This window comes from Homo sapiens, chromosome 4 (assembly GCF_000001405.40).
Source record: "Homo sapiens chromosome 4, GRCh38.p14 Primary Assembly".
Taxonomy (NCBI): domain Eukaryota; kingdom Metazoa; phylum Chordata; class Mammalia; order Primates; family Hominidae; genus Homo; species Homo sapiens.
Window position 1 is genome coordinate 180,157,589 of NC_000004.12, and position 22,622 is coordinate 180,180,210.

Here is a 22,622-nt window from a genome sequence, read left to right on the forward strand (position 1 = left end):
GTTAAAATTAATAAATGAATTCAGTAAAGTGGCAAGATAAAAAATCAACATACAAAAATTAGTAGTGTTTTTATATGCCAATAGTGAAACATCTAAAAAAGAAATCAAGAAAATAATCTCACTTATAAAAACTACAAAAAATAAAATGCCTAAGAATAAATTTAACCAAGAAGATGAAAGAGCTCTGCAATGAAACTATAAAACACTGATGAAAGAAATTGAAGAAGACAAAAATAAATGGAAAGTCATCCCATTGTCATAGATTGGAAAAATTAATGTTGTTACAATGCCCATACTACCCAAAGTTATGTACACATTCAATGCAATCCATATCAAAATACCAATGACATACTTTACTAAAATAGAAAAAATAATTCTAAAATTCGTATGGAACCATAAGGGACTCTGAATAGACAAAGCAATCTTAGGCAAAAAAAAAAAAAAGAAAAAAAAAAAACTGAAGGTGTCACCACATCAAAATATACTACAAAGTTATAGCAACCAAAGCAGCATGTTACTGGCATAAAAGTAGACACAAGCACCAATGGAACAGATAGAGAATCCAGAAATAAACGTAAGTACTTACAGCCAAGTGATTTTTGACAAAAACTCCAAGAACACACATTGGGGAAAGGACACTCCAACAAACGAAGCTGGGATTTTTTTTGTTTTTGTTTTTAATGGGAGAGGTATGAAGCTTAAAAAGTGCCAGGAACGAGAGTGAGGTTGAAGATATATGGAAGAGAGAATAAAACTGGAGGCACAATTCTCACAGCAATCAAAAGATGAGATTCAGGCAGACATTGGCTTCAGAGCCAGCTGCACCACTTAATGGCTGTGTGACTTGCAATGTCACTTAATTTCTCAGAACTTCAGTTTCTCCATCTCTAAAATGTAACAATAGTATCAATCTTAGAGGGTTATTATGAGTATTAGGTATTATTATAAAATGTACGTAAAAATAAATTACAGTGAGAACTCATTATAATATTTGCTATTATTTTTATTTGGTGTAAATCAGTTGGCTTCATCAATAAAGAGGCCTAGAAATAAACACATAATTGAAGACTGGAATAAAGAGGAAATGACTGATATTTCTCTAGGCAATTTTGTAAATATGATACTCAGGGAGATGATGCCTTATCGTCTCAATGACTTTAGCAGTTATCCATTTTCTTAAAATAAAACTTAGTTAAAAGTGGAAAATCAAGACCCTTTCTGGCCTAAAATTATAAACAAACAGCTGGTCAGTTCCAAGGTGTTTGGCAGTAAGACTTTTTTTTTATCTTAAAACTGTAAACATCTCGTTGGCACAAAGATGTTTGGAATATTTTTAGTTATCTATTCTATGGCACATCTTATATTCTTCAGGTGAAGTGGAAATCTTATTTTACCTAAATATAAACCTTGAGTGGATTCTTTGCTTAATATAAGATGTGACAACCTAATATAGACCTTTAAATAACAATAGAAAACCCTCCTAACACTGATCTAACTTACAAAGAGAAATAAAACTATCACATCTGCTTCCTAAGCAGCCTTAAACGAAAAAGTATGATTTTAATAAATATGTATATTAAAACAGAAAGTATAAAGCACACTAGATATGATAGTTGATAACGTGGCATGCATATTATGAATCTTGCTATTTGAAATGTGTATGTATAGAAATATTTTTGTTAAATACACAACTAGTCACTGAAGGAAGTTTTTTGTTTGATGCTAAGTTGATTTAAATAGTTTTCAGTGTTCTTTTATTTAACCTGAAGAATTGGAATCAAATTACTTTATATTTCTCAATTTTGGTTATTATCCTTTCTCTCTGTGGGTTAGTCACAAATTTAGATATAACCAAAAGTAATTTATGATGAGCCTGAAAGGTATTAATAAAGCTAGGAAATGAAAAAGTAGTGTTCAGTAATAGGGCTAATTTTCCTGTGTATATTTTATAAATGGACATTTTCTTACAGACTGGGAGTGTATATAACTTACATGTTTTATTAAGAGTTCTATAAACAATTATATCACAAGTTTCTAAATGAAAACAGTCCTGTGCTTTCTTTTATTTAACCTGAACCACTCTTTTTTTTTTTTTTTTTTTTTGATGATTCCAGGCTAATTTAGCCTGATTTACTGTTCTTTTAAAAATATAAAGTTACAAATAATCTCAGTTGTGTTGAATGGAAGTTAAACTTAAGAGAGGGTAATAGCAAATCTAAGGATGCAAGTTCCTAAATTTTGTTCTATTTCGGTATGCCTTACTCACGCTGATTCATGAGCTCTTCTGTGAATCAACATCAGTCCTTATCCTTAATTGTATATAGTGTTCATTCTAATGTGATTTTCCACTACATTCAAAAGCTTCCTACTTTTAAAAGCTGGCAGCACGTGAACAATTTATACCTCTTTGGAACTCTTACCTCTTTGGAGGAACAACCAGCTTCTTTTGGGAAATGACTTTTAATTAATAAATAGAACACTTTTCATCACCTTCAATGGCATAGCTTTGAAGAGAATAGAAAACAAAGCTGGTGACACCTTCTTGGGTCTGGCATGCCAAGAGGGGCCTAGAATTAAACAAGTAGTGACAGTCACAGCAACTGCTAGCTCTTTTTAAGCATCTGTCTTTATTTCAGATTGACTCCTATGTTTTTCTCTTTCTTGACTACTTCTTTGTTGCGGGATAGAGTTCTCTTTGGTGTCAATGTACTTAATGTTTACTTTCAAAACAGAGAAAAGTGAATACGGGGTGATGACCTTCACTAAAGGCAAAGAAGCCTTATCAAACTTAGAGTGATATTGATAGTGATTGTCCAACACGCAGCCTTTCATGGGGAAAACAGTGATCGATTTTAATTGGTTACTTTTTAGTGTCAGCACTGTTTTACTATGCAGCTTTAAATACGCATATAAACCGCAGTGGTACTAAAACCTAAGAAGTCACATTCTGATCATTTCTTTTGTCAAAGAAGCATGATCTTAACTCATGAGTCACTGTTAAATGTAAGTGTAATGTGAAGGAAAAATGAAAATACATTATGAGTAGTTTTTTGCCAATTTGTATAATTTTTCAGTTAAGCAGTCATAAATCAAGGAATATTGTATTTTTTGAGGCTCATTAAAGAGACATTATACATCAGAATAGTGAAGTCGTCAGCATAATGAAATGATGAATGCCTGTAACTATCTGTATGTAAATGATGTGAGACAGATTCAGGGTGTTACAAAGGAGAATAACAATCTCTCTGACAGTTCCCTGTAGGTGCAGTTGCTGGATGCTGGTGACAGATGTTAAATGCAAACCTCTTCAATGGCAAGCACTTATTAGCACTCAGTGGAAACTCGCAATATAAAATAAGACAAATAGCAGATTATATCATTTTAAATAAATTTGTTCAGTAAGGTGTGTTATTGCATTTTAAGATTCTTCTTTATTAACAAAGGCAGTATTCTAAATTAAAGAAAACAGAATAGAAAAGAAAATGGCTATTTGAAAACCAGTATATAGAATATGAGTGTGTGTGTGTGTGTGTGTATGTGTTTGTGTGTGTATAGTTATGCTTGACCATTTCTTTAACTAAAATAAGAAATTTTCCATATAGTAGGTAGTGTGTCGAACTTAACTAATTTAGGTTTATTTTAAAACTCACCCATTATCTTATCAAAGAAACACATCTATCTCCCTTATGTATCTCACAGATGGATTCCTTTCCATACACACTTAAATGGCAAGCATCTTAATATGCATACCACTTTGTCAACCTTCATATCTGGTGTGGTTTATTATTTCCATTTTAATCTTCATACTTATTAAAATCATGTTTCTTTTGTTCGACACTGCTCAATTTGTTGATTAACCAGGGCCTTAAATCCTACATTTCAGATGCTTTATTCCATTCACCAAAGAGGAGAAGGCAACAGATCTAGTAATTTTCTAGAGCTTCTCATTTATCTATGAATTTCTCAGCACCTGGTACAAGTGCCAAATACATAAATGATTATTAAATGAAGAAGAAATGGAGGGAGAGAGAGAGAAGATGGTTTTTAGTCCAACATGGGTCACTGATGGGTCTGTGGCATTGGCTAAGTCACTTAAGTTCTGTCTACATGATATATTATCTGTTATCTATTATCTATTATTATTAATTTTAAAAACAATGTTGACTTAAGCACTTTGGGAACAGAGAAAGCACTTTGGATTATATAACCAAATGTATGTGGATAAAGTCATATTAATATAATTATTCATATGCTTTGTGCCTTGAGGACTGTAGTTAATTATTTTTAATAACATTTTCCCATAACTGGGCCATAGTATTTTGGCATTTTATAATGTAAACGTGAATTGCTAGCAAGAGAAATGATAAAATTTCTCTCCATATTTATGTCAATATGATGGTTTTTTTTCTCTATCTTGAGGTATATATTGGGGGACGGGGTTAGGATAGTATTTGACTAAAGAGTTTTTCTTAAATAATTAATATCTATTTTACTTTTTTGCAATAGGAATGCAGCAAATTATTGGCATGTGAAAGTTTTATGAACAAATAAATGTATATGTTTTGTTATAATATGAAAAGTCTATGAGAACATAATGGTCCAAGTTTTCAATAGTCTGAATATAAATATTAATGACTTAAATTGTTAGTGGCTCTTTGGATATGTACTGTGATAATAAAGTGATTCACCAATTCGTTGAATATATTTTAAAATCTATATATTAAAAAATAGATTTGAAAGTACCAAATTGCAACTTAAAAATTCCTAATAATGGATAGCTATTATGTAACTAAACTGAAATTAAAATATTTTAGAGGTAATACACCATATTTTATTTTTCCCCTTCACATTCATCACCCACATCTCTTCTGATCATTTTGCAGTTTTACTCACTTACAAATAAAAGAACACTTATGATTTTATGTTCCAATTCTTTAACTTACTACACATGAACACACACAACACACAACCTGAGAGCATCTATTACACATAACAATTTTATAATATGATTCACTTTTTTCTATGACTGAATACTATGTGAGAACCATATTTTTGTTATCTTTAATATAAAATGCCACCACATGCTATTATAATTACATGTGTGTATTTTTAACAACAAGCATCTATATAATTTTTATGTTTAAAAAAGTACTTCTAAATCTATTATTGCATTTAATCAGTGACAAGATTTGAATCTTTGTCTTTTAATTCTAAGTTCATTGGTCTGTCTGACATATCATATTGCTTCTTGACAAAACTCTTGAATTGAAATCCAACAAAATACACCCTGCCAGTTGTAATGCACTTTGCCAAACCAAATAAGAAAACTTATTTAATGGAATGTTTTGTCACTTATGTCACATTTACTTACTTTATGCTCTAAAGGTAGTTAAGTGATGAATAAACATTCAAGGGGATTGATTGGGTGAGAATAACATGTCCACCATTCTACAGCACAGAGTAATTACTCCAAGAAGCATTTCTCAAAACCAAAGACATCCTACATAATTCTTCTTCCTTAAATTATGTATTATTTGTAAATGTCACCGAGCTATCATTTACTTCCAATTGAAATAAATGACTCCTGCATTTTTAATATTATAATTAAACTTATAAGTATTCAGCTTTATTTCAAACTCCAGATACACACACAAAAACACACACATATGCATACACACACATATCTACGTTTATGTATACATACATAGGGTATATGCTACATATACCTGTGTCATGCATGGCTTAGCTATTGGAATATATTCTGAGAAATGTGTCATTAGGTGATTTCATCATTGTACCAACATGATAGTGTGTACTTACACAAACCAAGCTGATACTGCTTACTACACACCTTGGCTCTATGGCATAACCTATTGCTCCGAGGCTACAAACCTGTAAAACATGTTATTGTACAGAAACATGTAGGCAATTGTAGCACAATGGTAAGTATCTGTATATGTAACACATCTAAACAAAGAAAAGGTTTGTTAAAAATATGGTATAAAAGATCAAAAATTGTACACTTGTATAGGTCACTCACCATGAATAGATTTCACAGGACCAGAAGTTGCTCTGGGTGAGTTGGTGAGTGAGTGTGAGTGAATGTAAAGGCCTAGGACATTACAGTACACTAATGTAGATTTTATAGAATATAGTACACTTAGGCTACACTAAATTTATAAATAAAAATGTATTTCTGTTTAATAATAAATTACCCTTAGCTTACTGTAACTTTTTTATTAATTTTTTAATGTTTTGAACTTTGTGACTCTTTTGTGAAACACTTAGTTTAAAACACAAACACAACATTTTGTACAGCTGTATAAAAATATTTTTCTTTTTGTATCTTTGTTGTATAGACTTTATTCCATGTAATTTTTTTTTTTTACATTTTAAACTTCTTTGGTAAAACTAAGACACAAAAACACACACTAGCCTTTGCCTACACAGGGTCAGGAATGTCCATATCACTTCACCTCCACATCTTGCCCAACTGGAGGGCCTTCAGGGGCCATAACAAGCATAGAGCTGTCATCTCTGATGATAACAATGCTGGAATACCTCCTGAAGGAACTTCCTGAGTCTGTTTTACAGTTAACTTTTTTTTTAAATAAGTAGAAATACACACTACAATAATGATAAAAATTATAACATATAAAATACATAAACCAGCAACATAGCTGTTGACTATCATGAAGTATTCTGAACTGAACATTGTTGTATTCACTGTACTTTTCCATGACTGGCAGTGTAGTAGGTTTGTATAAACCAGAATCACCACAAACACTTGAGTAATGCATTGAGTTATGATATTATAATGGCTACCATGTCACCAGGCAATAGAATTTTGCAGTTTCATTGTAATTTCAGGGGACCATCATCGTGTTTGTGGTCCATCATTGACCGAAATGTCATTATGTGGCACATGACTGTATGTCTGTATATATATGTATATACACCCTTAATAAACTTCAGTTTTATTAATCAGAATCTAGAGAACTCAAGCAGATTAAGGAACATTGAACTAAGAAGCACCAAAACCCATGCATAAATAGCATGAGGATTATCTAGAGAGATGAGAGCTTTGGAGCCAATACGGTATTAATACCAGGAATCAGTTAATCATATTGGGGCATTTAGAGTTATGGAATGCTAGAAATAGTAACAACCTTAGAAATTATCCAGTCTTAGGATGGCAATCTTTGAAAAATTTAAGTTGAAAAATGCAATGCTGTCTAAAGCTGATTGGAACTTGCTGCCTGGAACACTGTGCAGGAAAAGGAATATGTGAAGCATGTCATAATCAGTCAGTTAGTTCTATCTGCCACAGATGAGGCATGAGAACTAGTAGCATACTTACTGAGGCTCAAACACTATAAATCACTTTCCCAAAGTTACACAGACAGTTAACTCTGAATCCTTGACTATAAACAAGGCCTCTGACTCATAGTCCAGTGCTATTTGCTCTGCTCTACTGGCAAAGGAGAAACACTCCCAATCTCCCAGTAGGCTTTCTCAGAGAAAGTCCACAGGGGCATGAAGGAAAACTATACAGGGGATGGTTGCCGCTCTGGATTGATGCCCTCGTGGGTTAAATTTATTGAGACTTGCTTATTCTTCTCATGGCATAATTGACTTAATTATATTCTGAAGCACTGTAACTTGGGTGTGTTTTCTTTTATTAATTATATTTTATATTATTATTTTTTTTCCTTAGAATTCCTAAGTAGATGATGCCTGTGCTTCTGTAGGCTAAATAAATGGGTTCTGTACTTTGAATATATTAATATATTAGTATTCTCTAATATATGTTTTGAACATATATGAATATATGTTCAAAATAAAACATAAAAACTAGATGAAAGCATTTGCATTTCAGTGATACTTAATCAAAATTTTGAGATATATGTTTACATTGATTAACTTATAATAGAGGGCTAACACAGTTTAGCAAAATACAGACCGTTCCCAAGCTACCTTCACTCCACCCTTCTCCACCTTTTTATAGAATCTTGTCTAGCTGATTAATATAACAGAGCACTTCAGCTTTGGTGAAATACACTTATTCAATTTCACCGAAGATTATAGGTTTCAAATAATAAAATTGGATTTTATTGAGGATTGAAGTGTGTAAATAGAACATTTGATTGAATTTAATAAAATGGTATCCTGCTGATGAAGGCAAGTCATTTCCCCTAGTTTTAACTTGATTACAAAGACAAGAAGTTTTATGAGCTGCTGTGAATGGAAAATTTCTTTCTCTCTACAGAAAAAGACTATATCAAAACTAAGAAAAAATGAGTAGTACAATTTAGTATTTTTAAATTAATTTTGTTACTAATTTTGATTTTTTTTAATTTCATGAAACTACTTTCTAATCTGCATTTGTGGCTACTCAATCAGTTAATTAAACATGCATATTATTAAAAAAAAGGAACTCCAGCAAGTAAGTTTTTTTCTGTAGCTTTGAATAGCTTAATATTGTACCATTCTTCATCTGATCTATGATCATTAGTCCCTTTTTTACAAAAGGAATCAGTATATGGTAACTCATGATATTTAAATGTTTGACTATCTTTAGCCAATTCTGAAGTTTCATAAAAAGAAACACAAGGTGCATGTTTTTGCTACTTTCCAACAAATAGAATGTGAAATCTGAAAATGGCTTGCAATAATTTTGAGAAAACCAAAACCACATACCAAATGTTAAAGCTTCCTAGGTATATTGAAAAGATCATATTTAATTATAAAAAATACCATTTTTTCTTATGGTAATAGCAATGATTAATTTTGGTATTAAAGTTTTATTTCTCAAATGTTTTACATTTCAACATAATAAAGTAAAAATATTATTTACCAAAATATAGCATTTTCTTAATTAATGTCAATATTTTAATTGTTTTGTTAGGCTAGCGAGCCAACTGAAAATACTTTTTTTTAACCACTTAATCATGGCAGAACTTTTTAAAATTTATTAGGTTATTTTTAAAAAGACTATTTGGAGGCTAAAAGATGGATAGAATTTGCAGTGAGTCATCATTATAAATGTAGAGTGAGTGTTAAGATATGCCAGAATTGAAGACATTATGTTGACTGAAAATTGATAATAAATAATTTCAGAGCAAGATGAATTTTAATGTGGCCTAAAATAGTACTTTGAGTTGATTTAGAATATTATCTTTAAGCAGTTGATTCAAAGTATCTGCAGGGGAAATATAGAATCTAAATATAGTAGTTCTTTTTCAATTATTTGAGGGTTTTTACAAAGAAGTAAATGGTAAACAGTTAATGAAAGGACAGTACATTAAAGGAAAATGAATATGTGTGTGTTGCTAGTGGTTGTGTGTTTTTAATGTTTTGGAGAAAAGTCCATTTTACAGAGAAAAGGAAAGGTTACTAGAGAGGTAAAACTGGATGAGAAAGCAAAGATAAGAATAATCAGACAGATACAACCCCTAGATGTACATGGAAGTAAAAGCAGTTTAGAAATAGAAAAAAAGGAAGGAGACAGCAGAAATTAAATAAGTGCTGTATAGGAGAGTGTATGTGGTTCAGACTCTTTGCTATTATTTAGGAGAGCTGTTGCCTGTAGAGATTAGAAACACCATTCAAAAACAGAAAAATGTATAACAACTGAGGAATGATGGTTTGAGACTATCACTGAGATGAGAAGAAAGACCTCTAATTAGAATAAAAGTAGTTATATCCTGAAAAGTCCAAAGTACAGGAGACCGCTTCATCAAACAAATTAAATAAATTAGTGGGAAAATGTGTTCTGACGAACTTCCAGAAGCATTTTTAACAGGCATAAATGTTGTGGTTTGAGAGGAACTGCAAAGAAAGAAGGATGAGACATCTCTTCATAGAAAAGATGCACTGAAATAGATGGGCTAAGTGTAGAAATATGATTATAATTTAGGTGGGTGCCTAGAAAAGGCAATATAAGGGGATCAGTGTTCAAAGAGAAACATGTATGACAACAGTTGATGAGCATATTACACCATATGTAGCAGGACTTTTCACTTTGAGAGGCAGCTCTAGTAGCACCTTGGGTAATATGTGTGAATTTTAGAAAGACATACGGAAGAAAACAGACCACAAAAAGTGTCTGTTATTCATTGAATGCTTCACATATGCCTAAAGAATTGTTCAGTAGTTTATGTATCATTTTCAACTCATATATGTGGTTACATAAACTCACTCTACTATAGGAGTCTCATTTAATTATTAGAAAAAACTATAATAACAAAATGATTAGTTATATTAGGAGATGGTAATATTCATTCATAAGCTCAAAATTCTACTCTACAGTGTCTTTTCAGTTCTGAAAATTATTTGAAGAAAAAAATTTTGCTTATATGAATAATTTTGACGCAAACGATCCCCATCCCATTCCTAGTGTGAGCCCCATTTTTATTCAGTGTGAAAAGAAGATGACCAAACATCTGTCATAACATCATATTACCTGGTAACATATTGAGATTATACTCAGAATTGACCTGTGAATCTTATTACCTGTGGGAAGATTAAAATCTTCACTGAATGATCAAGGCAGAAATCAGAAGCTGAGAATGAAAATACAATAAATCTATTTTGAAAATAAATGAAACCCAATCTAACATTATAACAATTATTATTTTCCCCAACACTGTCAGATTTTATAAATAAGAATCTCAAAAAAAGTCTGCATCCTCCCCTGATGCAAGAGTGGTTGGTTTTTATCTGCCCCACACAAATTCGATATAGGTAACAAAGAGCCTGTCGTTTCCCCTGGCATGTGTTCCAAAGTCGGACAAAAAGAAAGCAAATGCCTGCATATGAGGTAGCAAATGAAAAGCCATTCTTATATTCTGTTCTACAGCATAAGTACCGAATGAAAATAATTTTGAAAAATATGAAACACTAAATAGGTGTGTATAGCAGTAATACTGGTAGTAGTCACAGCAGCCACAGCAGTAATAGTAAATATAAATTTTATACTGTAAGATATTTGTGAAAAAAGGTAAAAATTAATGTCAAATCAAAACCATTTGTAAAGAGAGGTTTGAGATTTAAATTTTTACTTGTTTATAAACTCTTTAAAGCCAAAAATAGCATTAAAGAATGATTAATTATATTACATTGAAATAGAACATTAAAACATAGGTGTATTTTTCTCCTGAAATATATCTACTTCTATGTGAAGTTGATATGAAGTCAAGAATGTGTATGTTTAACTAGTTTTAGAATAACAATCAATGAAACAGTAAAAGCAGTAGACAATTCATATTACAGAACTGTAATCTGAAATTCTCATTGCAGGTCCTGTAGTACATTTACACACGTTACCTGTAGGAAAATTGAGCGGTGCAGCAATGCTAACTGATTTATACAAGGTCTCTTGTCAGGCAGAATAGAATTATTCTCATTCTCCTTTCGGACATGTAATATTGTATAATCATCTCTTTTAATGACTTAATCTCAAGGTATTTATGAACAACATACTCTTATTTCAATCTAGGCATTATTTTTGTATAGTCGGTTCCATATTATTGCCATAACTGTCATTATAACCAACTCTTAACTTCATTTAAGTGAAATAAAATTGGATGTTATGATTTTAGTTACTCAAAAAGATACAATAGAACATACAATAAAGGTTGCAATAATTGTCACTTAACAAGGCTTACAAGCATTATCTGTGATTTGTATGAATTATGCTAATAGAATGCCACAAGGTTAAAGAAGCTTACGATGGACATTAGAGAATAATAGTTACGTTCCACCTTATTTGGCAGGACTGAGTAAAGAATGTGAATTGTCAACATTTTGAGAAACATTAGTGGGACACTGTAATTCAAAGAGAAAAGAATAAGGGATTGAGTAGGCAGGCTGTAGTAGCGTCAAAGAAAAACTCTGAGCAACATTAGCCCTGTATATTTCTGCAACAGAGAGTTGCCCAGGGTAAAAGCAGGAAGCACCAGCAAATACACTCTCATTCAGTCAAAGTGCCAATTCGATAGAGGAAGTCACCATGGGCTAAATGGTCCTTAGTGTAGACAGACAGTAGGAGAGAGAGCAGACGTCAGCTGTCTTAGCTGGGACTACTTCAGCAGGAGACCTCACTCCCTTTCCCTCACTTCTATGTTTTCAGGCTGCAGAAAATATACAATGCACATGTCTCTCTCACTGAAACTCTGTGGTGAAGTCAGTACAAAAAGGGGGCAATGCAACTAGCATATGCTTTATCAGAGCAAATAGAAGTTATGGGCAAAGATGCCCAAGTTAGCAGGTAAGACTGGCCAGAGCCAAAAACCAAATTAACAGGAGAAGGGAAAATCTTGAGCTAATTACGGAGGTTAATGAAGGGAATCTAATAGTTCATCCATTAAGAGAAAAAATGATCAATACAGAAGACAGATAAAAGAAGACCAATAAATGAAATACAAAAATTAGATAAAATAGAAGGAAAAATCCTGAAATAAACAAAGAACTGTATCTGCAGCTCAGATAAGCATATGAAATACTAGAAACTGGAATGAGGTCATAAGACTGAGGAGCAGAGGTTGAATGAGAAACTAACAAACCAAATGAACATAGTATAGGCTGACATGTGTGGGAAAAGAGTGTGGGCAAGATAAGCATCAAGATTTCTGACCAGTTGCTTTCAGGACTCTGGTGAGACAGGTTAGTTTAAAGGATTTTTAGGACATTTTACTGTGTGTCATAAAATGCAGTCGTCCTCTGACATCTCTTTCAGAAACAGCAAAAAATCATGTAACTCCTTTTTGATGTTTTATTTGTGTGGCGCGAGAAAATACCTATTGAACGGAAAACATGCGGAATAAGGGAAAAACCTGTTACTGTTGAACTTTGGTAGCACATTGGGGTTTCTGCTTGGATTTTGGACTGAAAATGAAATGTAGATTAAATTGTTATTTAGAAATGATCCTTGAGAACACCTTTACGGTGTCCTCTATCAGAGTATTGTCATGAAAGGGAGTAGGGAGCTACTCAGAAGAAATCATGATGAATTTGGGGATCACTACTCTCATTAGGAGGGAAATAGTGGAAACTAAAAAAGTTACCAAAATCATAATTGTTGTACTAATGCATGATTTATAAATGGGTTACAAATGGAGAATAAATATAGGAAGGATTTCATTACTTAAAAAACTGAAAAAGCCTTAGAAACTCCCTCATGATGGTACAGATTATAAATTATTATTTTTCATCTGACATTGACAAACACCTAAGTGTTTTAATATATTGGACCTGTTCGTGGCATTTACTTTCCTTAACGAACTGATACTAGAAGCCCTGAGGACTGGGTGCCCATCATGGCACAAGAGATGAAACTGAATAAAGAACTTCTGATAGAGATGAACTGCTAGGACTAAGTATTAGTATTGAACAATATTGCCAGAGACAGAAGTTGGAGCTATAATTTACACAGTTCACAGATATGTGGCAGAGGGCTGAAAAATGCTAAAGATGAAGTGATAGACAGATGAACCCAGAATTATACAATTTTTTATCAGTCTTAAAGACTTCTGTTTTCCTGACAGAGTACCTGATTATCTAGAGTTGCTTAGAATTTGCTTTCCAGTTTATTTACTTCTTCATCTCTAATCAAATTGATGATGGCAAAAGGCGGTAATCATGGAGTCATGGGGGCCATCATCCATCCACGGAAGAGGGAAGCCCATTTTTCATAGAATAGGGATCACTGAGTTATGTAGGGAGACCAAAAAGAATATACTATATTCTCATATTTTACTAAGATGTTAAAATTTATTTTTCATTCTTGTCATTAACTTTGAAAGAGCTAGAATCCCATAGAACCCTGGGAGTCTCAATTTCCGTTACCCAGTAGTGTTCTAATTATCACCTAAACAGGCAATCTTTGGTCAGATTTTGCATTTGAATGAACGTCCTTATGGCATTTCAAAATGTAACTTTGAGCATATTTTATTATAACGGTATTTTATATATCATCAGATATTAAAATAGCTATGTATTATTTTATTAATATGCCAATAATACCTTAGCAAATGGCATACAAGGTATCATGCCAATCTTGCACATGGTTGTATTTTCAGCACTAACACAGGACTTGGAAAATATAGTGAATATAAATTTTTTACATAAATGAATGAAGCAAGTGGCATTTGCTGCATGATCACAATAAAAATTTATCAGAAAATAGATTAAAAACTCCATATAAAATCTTTTTTTTTTTTTTTTTTTTTTTTTTGCCACAGAGTCTCGCTCTGTCTCCCGGACTGGAGTGCAGTGGTGCGATCTCGGCTCACTGCAAGCTCTGCCTCCCTGGTTCACGCCATTCTCCTGCCTCAGCCTCTCGAGTAGCTGGGACTACAGGGGCCATCACACCCAGCTAATTTTTTGTACTTTTAGTAGAGATGGGGTTTCACCATGTTAGCCAGGATGGTCTTGTTCTCCTGACCTCGCGATCTGCCCTCCTCGGCCTCCCAAAGTGCTGGGATTACAGGCGTGAGCCACAGCGCCCGGCCAAAATCTTAAACTAAATTTTAGAACTCAACACACTCATAAATTTGGACAGTATCTAAATGTAATATGTTAAACTATTACATATAATATATCTTGGCCATTTTCTTTCCTGAATAGTTATCATATATGCTTTATTAATATACCTAAGATCGTTTTACTTTATTTTTGTAATCAAATAGCCAGACTTAAAGGAGACTAAGAAATTTTAAAAGTTAAAAAATATGAATTAAGCAGGTAGAGCTATCATCAAGATGTAAAATTCATTTTAATATAATAGAATTATTTCAATTTGTATTCCACTTGCTAATAAATTTACATTTGATAAGTTAAAGAGTTAATGAAACTCACTGGTATTTATTATCTTTTTGATAGCTCTAGGATAATATGTTTTTATTTGCACTCAGAAGCACATCCTGCATTCATTTTTATTAGTTTTAATATATGGATAGACTGCAGTAAATATTATTACTAGAAATCTGTGGCTTGCTTGCTTTCTCCAAAGGATCTGGAAACTAATAGATTTCTCACATGCATTTAAAAGATTGCTGAACAAGAATTAACGTTAACTTTTGTGTCTGCTTGTGGGCTAAACAACAATTATTGCACATTTTTATTTCTGGAATTCATCATTTCTCATCTTTTATTTGTTATTATGCTTAAAACCTGACCCCTGTTTTAGGACAGAAACTACCTCTTGGGCGTCATCAGTGATTTCATATAATCTACCTTTACCCCATGTTCATGCTGTGGGATCTTTCTACTTGGCCAGAATTTCTATTAGAAATCTGATAGTTAACAGGCATTGGCATTCTAAGGAATAAAGAAAGATGACTGTCCTTCTTGAAGAGTACATCTGTTATTAGTGGTAGGGATAATGTTCCTTAATTGTACTTCTGTTGGGTTACTAACAATGTCTACATAGATTAGAGATCTCAGAGTCAAGATGTCCAAAATCAAAGACCTCTTTTCCAATTATTTTTCTTCCTTCTTTCCTCATTGTATTGATTAATACCACCGTTCCTTGCATTCCTGGGCAAAAGTACAATGAGAATAGAGACATCCTGTTCTGCAGACGGAGAATGGTGTCAGAACAAGATGAAGTTCCTAAGATACAGACACCATAATATAATATTGTAAAAGTCACAAAATCCTAAGTAGAAAAACAGAACAAAAAAGGGTAGACAGGAGAAAGAAAGTTCTAATTGAAGGGCATGGTGATACATATACATTTATGAAGAATAACTTTTAAATTCCAAATATAGTAAAAATCAAACACATCCATACAACAATCATGTGGGAAGAATACTTGTAGAATGTTGCTATTCTATCCTTTTTGCAGATCTCATTGCAGATGAAGGAATTATTGTCCAAAGTGTTTTGTTTTCCTGAATGGTTTTCCTGTCATTTATGAGGAGACTTTAAGCTATAATGCTGAGTTTTATACACTATGCTGCAGAGCATTTCTTTAGCAAGAACCGGAATTAGAGTGAGAGCAGGAAAGAAGTAAAATAAAAACATTAAATAAATGTAATATGCAGAGGCAGAGAAGCTTTGGGATTCGTGGAAAATAATACAAAGAAATTCATGAAATAACATTTACAAATGATGAGATAGAAGGAGAGGAAAAGTTAGGGTATTGTTTTAATTTAAATTGTTTTAATTTAAAAGACAGTCTTAACCTGAAGCAAACACTTCAGTGCTGAAAAGCACAACCAATTATCTTTTTTTGAAAGCAGTTTCCACCTGAAAGGGATGGAAATTAGGAAGTGAAGAGATGAAAAAGAGACTGCCTTGGGAATATTGTCTCAGAATGCATGTATTTAACTCTCTAGTAAATCTGGCAGTGAACCACCATCTGGTGACCACAGTGATGAAAAATATTCCTATTGGTTAAGAACAATGTCTGAACTTTAGAAAAGAGCATTCATATTTTATAGAGATCTATGTATATCCATTACATAATCATTTTCTAGTCAAAAAGACAATGGTCTTGCTTTAAGAGGACCCAGCGAATATTTCAAATATATGTGATATTTTGTGATAATATGCAAGAGCATTCATTATAAAACATTTTAATAATTTGAAGGGAAAATCCTAAAGGCTGTAATGTTATTATAGAACTCATAATACATATGCATAACATAAACTAAATATTGGTCAAAGCTATATAAGCAGATACAGATATGTGGTTTTTGAAATAAGTGTCTACATATTTATATTCTTGAACTTCCTCAATCTCTTTTGAAGATATATCTAGATTTAAAAAAATGAAATAAAATTACTCCCATAAATTCTCCAAGTCAGACTCAGAGCACACAAGGGCACTCCAGCTATGAAAGTTTGATAGATTTTATACTGAAGAAGTATAAAATGTAATTGAGTACACTTTCTTTTTTCTTTCAGCAGAAAGCATATTTATACCACTTAAACTACTCTTATCTAGCCTTAAGCATCTTATAAATAAGAAATTATTCAGAGGGAAAATTTATATTTACCCTTAGAATATGCAAGAACTATGGGTTAGTCAATGTAAAATTAATGAGAAGCTCACAAAGTATCACAGACATGTAATATGTCTACAGTGCATATATGGCAGTGGTTATGAATCCTGGCTGCAAGGTACAATAGATTCTGCAAGGTTTTAATTTTTTTATTTTATTTTTTGCTACATTATATTTGTCCATATTTATGGGGTATATGTGAAATGTTATTACATGCATAGAATGTGTGATGATCAAGTCAGTGTAGTTAGGGTATCCTTTACGCCAGTATTATCCTGTCTAAGCGTTGGGTACATTTCAAGTCCTAGTTTAAAAAAATCAGGAACTATTCCAGACTTACTACCTCATCATCTCCAGGAAAGTGACCTAGAAGTCTTTATTTTGAAAGTATTTTATTATTGATTGTCCTGTTTGGTCAGTATTGAGAAACTATGGATATATGCAGTTTTTCTTAATAATCGTGGAAATTTGGAGCTGATAGGGATCTAAGATTCATCTAGTCCAATCTGCACATCAGTATCTAAATCAGATACATTTGGCTGTGGTTTTGATTAGTGTATATAATGAAATCAATATATATGTATTTATATGCATAAGAGCTAACTTTTACATAGGTATCTATTCCTGTGTATGTGTTTGTGCTCTCACATACACAGGCACACATACACACGACTCCCTCACTGGAAAACTTCACTGTGGTAGGTGACAGAGGGAACACATGTGAATGTGAGATTTATTGTGCTTAAATAATTTGCAGTCTGAAAAACATTTACACCCCTAATCACAGTTCAAGGCAATACTACAGATAAAGTGCTGTCGTAGTGCAAAAGAAAAAAATATTAATTCCCAGTCATATAGAAAGGATTAGATTTATCTGATGTTATCTTTCAAGAAGGAAAAGGCATTTGAATCTGGAAAAGATGAGACAGGAAACAAAAAATATTGAGGGAGCAGAATGTGCCAAGTCACAGGAACAAAATATTAGTGCTTTATTCAGCAAGTATATGCAATGAACATCATTCGTAGAAATGAAAATTTATCAACTTATTACTTATGATTATCTCTTATTAGCTTATTAATCAACTTATTTCCCATTCATTTTTTTCCTTCATTCAACAACTGTGGAATGCTGAAGATGGATTTGTCCTTGTCATAAAGGATATCCATGTATAAAAAAGAAAGAAGGCTTTGGGAGCTGAGGTGGGAGGATCATTTGAAGCCAGGCATTCCAGGCCAGCCTGAGCAACAGAGTGAAATCTCATAATCTTCAAAAACAGAAAAATCAGCTGGGAGTGGGGTATGCCACTGCACATCAACCTGAGTGACAGAGCGAGATTCTGTTCCTAAAACAATAAAATTAAAATTAAAAAATTAAAAATAAATAAAATTTTAAAAAAGCAAGAAAGAGCTGGCCATGTGCAAATGGAATTTGATTTACTGTTAAATATTTTGTTACCCAATTTTAAAAAAACTACATTGTATTCCTAAGATAATTCCCATTATTTGGGATATTTTACATTCAAAATTATGGAAATATTTTTAAAGCCATTTTCCAGACAGTCAATGGTAATAACATGAATTTGAGTTAGCAGCATGAGTTTTAAAAAGATTATAGCATCTTTGACTTTATTCATAGAAATTTGTAGCACTTTCTGTAAGTTTGATAATTGTCCTCTTCAGTGCTTAGTTTTAAACTTAGTACTTGTTGACATGAAAGAAATAATTGTGCTAATATCACTGGATATTAAACTACTCAAATAGAATCATGGAGCTGGAAATGGGTCGTTAGTTCATTTTTTTTGGGGGGGGGGGCAGATGAGAATATATCTTATTCTGAAATTTTGTCTCAGATATGCTAGGTGGCTTATATTTGTTGTGTTTTTGTTCTATTATGAAATGTCTATTCATTCTTCAGTTCTTACTGCATTAATCTCAAGGAGTAAGTCCTTTCTGTATCAATTGCTTCCTCAAAAACCTGAAATAGTATCTGATGCCCAGAGATTCAAGCCACAATAGCACATAGGGAATGCTTTCAGTAGTTGGTCTTGTAATAAACTACATTGTTCTTGCTCGTATGCATGATCCAGTTCCCCATCTTTGTGCCTCTTTCTGCTTTACTTTTCCCATTTTATAGCGCTCTTTCATTGATAGGTATTCAACTTCTGTTTCTTTTTTTTCTTTTAATTTTTCTTTTTCTTTTTCTTTTTTTTTGAGACGGAGTCTTGCTCTGTTGCCCAGGCTCGAGTGCAGTGGCGCGATCTCGACTCACTGCAAGCTCCGCCTCCCTGATTCATGCCGTTCTCCTGCCTCAGCCTCTCGAGTAGCTGGGACTACAGGCGCCCGCCACCACGCTCAGCTAATTTTTTGTATTTTTAGTAGAGACAGGGTTTCACCGTGTTAGCCAGGATGGTCTCGATCTCCTGACCTCGTGATCCACCCCCCTCGGCCTCCCAAAGTGCTGGGATTACAGGCGTGAGCCACAGCCCCTGGCCTCAACTGCTGTTTCTTTCAAAGGTGAGCATGAATGTGCTTTCTCTAAAATTTTGCCTGTTTCAACATACCAGAATCTCTTCCTGTTCTCAATACAAATGGTTCTTTTTCCATTTCTCCTATGAATCTTTGCTATTTATCTTCATCCACACACATAAAAATATACACATATATATTTTCCTCATTGGAGTACAGTGTATATTCTCCTTGCTGAGGGTAGAATTCTCATTTTAGTTATTCTGTTTTACACATCACCTAAAAGAGAGAGTTGCACACATAATTGTACCTTACTGTGTACTTACCAAAGGTTTTTCCCTAATTAAGAATCCCTCAATTTAAACTATATGCTGGTTATCTTTGCTGGGAAGAGTAAGGAAAAGGGATAGAGTTCTATGCTCTCAATCTGTTTCCTCCATGTGAAATTTCAAACTGAGGACAGTAATAATGTATAGATTATATAGTATATTCTAGGACACCTTTTGTTATCTATTTTAATGATTCTTCAGTAAATATTGTCATTAATCGCATATTACCTGAATTCCTTGAATGCAGTTATGGTTTCTAAATCTCGCATCCTGTTTCTTTTTTAAGTAGAAAAAGTGCACCTTCCTTCTATGTATGTAGCATGGACTTTGAGGTTTGTAGCAAGGTAAACCCCAACTCCATGAAAGATGGAATTTCTTAGAAAAATTACAGCTAATAATGCATGAAGTTCTAATATCTCAACACAGATCCCACATGTTCTTTTCTTTCATTAATCATTATCTTGTGTGAACTTGGGAAACGTGGGATAACATAATTTATCCCCCCTCTGACATCCATCCTTATTTTCTGACCATGAAAATGAAGAGATTGGGTAGGTGATTTCTTAGGCATCTTCCATTTCTGAAATTCTAAAAGTCTAATTTTGTTTTTAAGTAACTGCATTGGCGTTAAGATTATTATCTATAGAAACTCAGTGACTTCAATTTCAGAGCATGGTTTGCAATTTTTCTCTTCACATTTGGCAATAATTATTTTTCTTTTTTATTTCAGATGCATACAATTGATTTAATTCAGATCTTGTTTTTAATATGTATTCACCATTGGACAATGCATGGTTTCTTTAAATTTAATTCAGTTGGAACCTGACGGATGACTTCGGCCTGCTGGCATGCTCTTTTCGTTTTACCGTTCCGTGCGTGCTCCATTCCCCATAGCCATCATCTTGATTTTGTGTTTATCAATCCATTGCTTTTTTATAATTTTCCTGGATATACATATTTATCTAAAAAATATAACGTTTACATTTGCTTATTTTGAAATTTATTAGAAAATATTATTCTGCATGTAAACTTTAGAGTCATTTTTTTGCCCAATATTTCGTTCCTCATATTTAATCATATTATTACAGATAGCTGTAATTGTTATTGTTTAACACTTCGCTGTGGGAAAATGAAACAGTCTATCTATTCTCCTGTCCATGGCGTATGATTCCTTCTTGATATTATGATCAGTGCTGGTTTGAATATTTTTATGTCTTCTAGTGTGTATGTAATCAACTATATAATCCTGGAAAATAATAAAATGTTTTAAACTGGTCATTTTTCTCATACATCAACTTCATTTTGGCTTTGCTCAGAATGAATTTCTTAGAAAAAATAGTTATAATTATTAAGAAAACATTAGAAAATATGCTGATATTTTTTCTAAATTAGATTCTTTTTTTTTTTGTATATGAAGATATTTCCCTTGAGTTTTTGTCACTTATCATCTGTTTTATTCCCTTGCTTTATTACTGTTTCAAACGAGACTTTTTTTTTTTGGTTTTGATTTTGTATTAGGAAATCTTACTAAGTTCATTAGAATTTAATCACTTTTTAGATATTTTCAGAAGCATTAACAAGATATCATTGCATTTTTCATGGCTTATTTGACAATCATCTAAGTTAACAAGGTCATTTGATGATTATTAAGACATTTATATGTAGGAGGTATTCCTCTTTACATCTTTGTAGAATTAAGAACCTTATTGTCTTTCTTTCTTTTTTTTTTTAACATAGCACTTAACTAAAGTTAAGTAGTATAATGCCTAAGAACTAGCAATCTGATATCAACTCTCTAATGGAATGATGCAGGAAATAATTTAAAATTAAATATGAGGAGCAAAAGAGAAAAGGAGCAATTTAAAATAAAGAATTAAGACAAGCATATTCATCAATTATCACTTGGGCACAGTGGAGGAACTGGCCTGAGGGCTATTCAATTTAAAACGTTCCATAGGTACTATTGGATCCCTAAAGCAAAGTATAATGAGTTGGTGTCCCAATTAAAGTATTGGAAATGTCAGCAAGCTGAAAGGGATGGCTTCATATGGTTTGAGAGACAAGTATGTTGGTAAGGCAGTTCTGGCATGAATTACTTGGAAATATTTCAAGAATAATCAGACTGTTTTTCTTAATTTTTAACTTTTGCTTTCTCTTTATTTCCCTAAAGGGATTTATTTGTCCAGTGCCAAAAAGCACTTATTATGAATTGACAGTGGACCAGATCATGGTGAAATTGTACAGAAACTTAAATATCTGAAATCCCAAAGGTAGATCTGGCTAGTGAGCCCTTGGGCGATTTAAACAATGATTGTACTTTCAAGAGAGAGGAAATCAGCATTATTTCATGTCTTGAAAATGTCTTCTTTCCGAAACAATGTAACTTAATGAATTTGAACATTTTCTATATTTGAACTTGCATATAGGACTTCTATAATCAAATGAAAAAGTCACCAGTTTCCTAATTGTACCTTTATGAAAAAACTAAAGCAACTAAAATTAAAATAATCATTCTAATTTAAGTCATTTATAATAAATTTAACTCATACTTCACAAAATTTCATTTATATATATAAATTTTTAGAAAGCATGACCCCTAATTAATCACAAGGACATATCCCAGCCGATTACTTGGGGACTCTATCACCTTGGAGAATTTACTTGCCTGTGCCTCAGTTGTCTTTCCTTATGCATGGGTAATACCTGTACTCACTTCAAGGAAGTTTTATGAGATTTAATATGTTAAAATATTTCAAGACTTTAGAACACTATCTGGCACATAAAGACACAGGAGTTATATCTCATCATAAGCATA

The 22,622-nt window shown here is 32.6% G+C and overlaps 1 long non-coding RNA gene across 1 annotated transcript; it reads left to right on the forward strand.

The window, feature by feature from the left end:
• Positions 1-14,237: 14,237 nt before the first annotated feature.
• On the forward strand, positions 14,238-21,083 carry LOC124900819 (uncharacterized). Its single transcript, XR_007058397.1, has 2 exons — positions 14,238-19,526; positions 20,538-21,083. It is a non-coding gene; the product is annotated as an uncharacterized LOC124900819 (long non-coding RNA).
• The last annotated feature ends 1,539 nt before the right edge of the window (positions 21,084-22,622 follow it).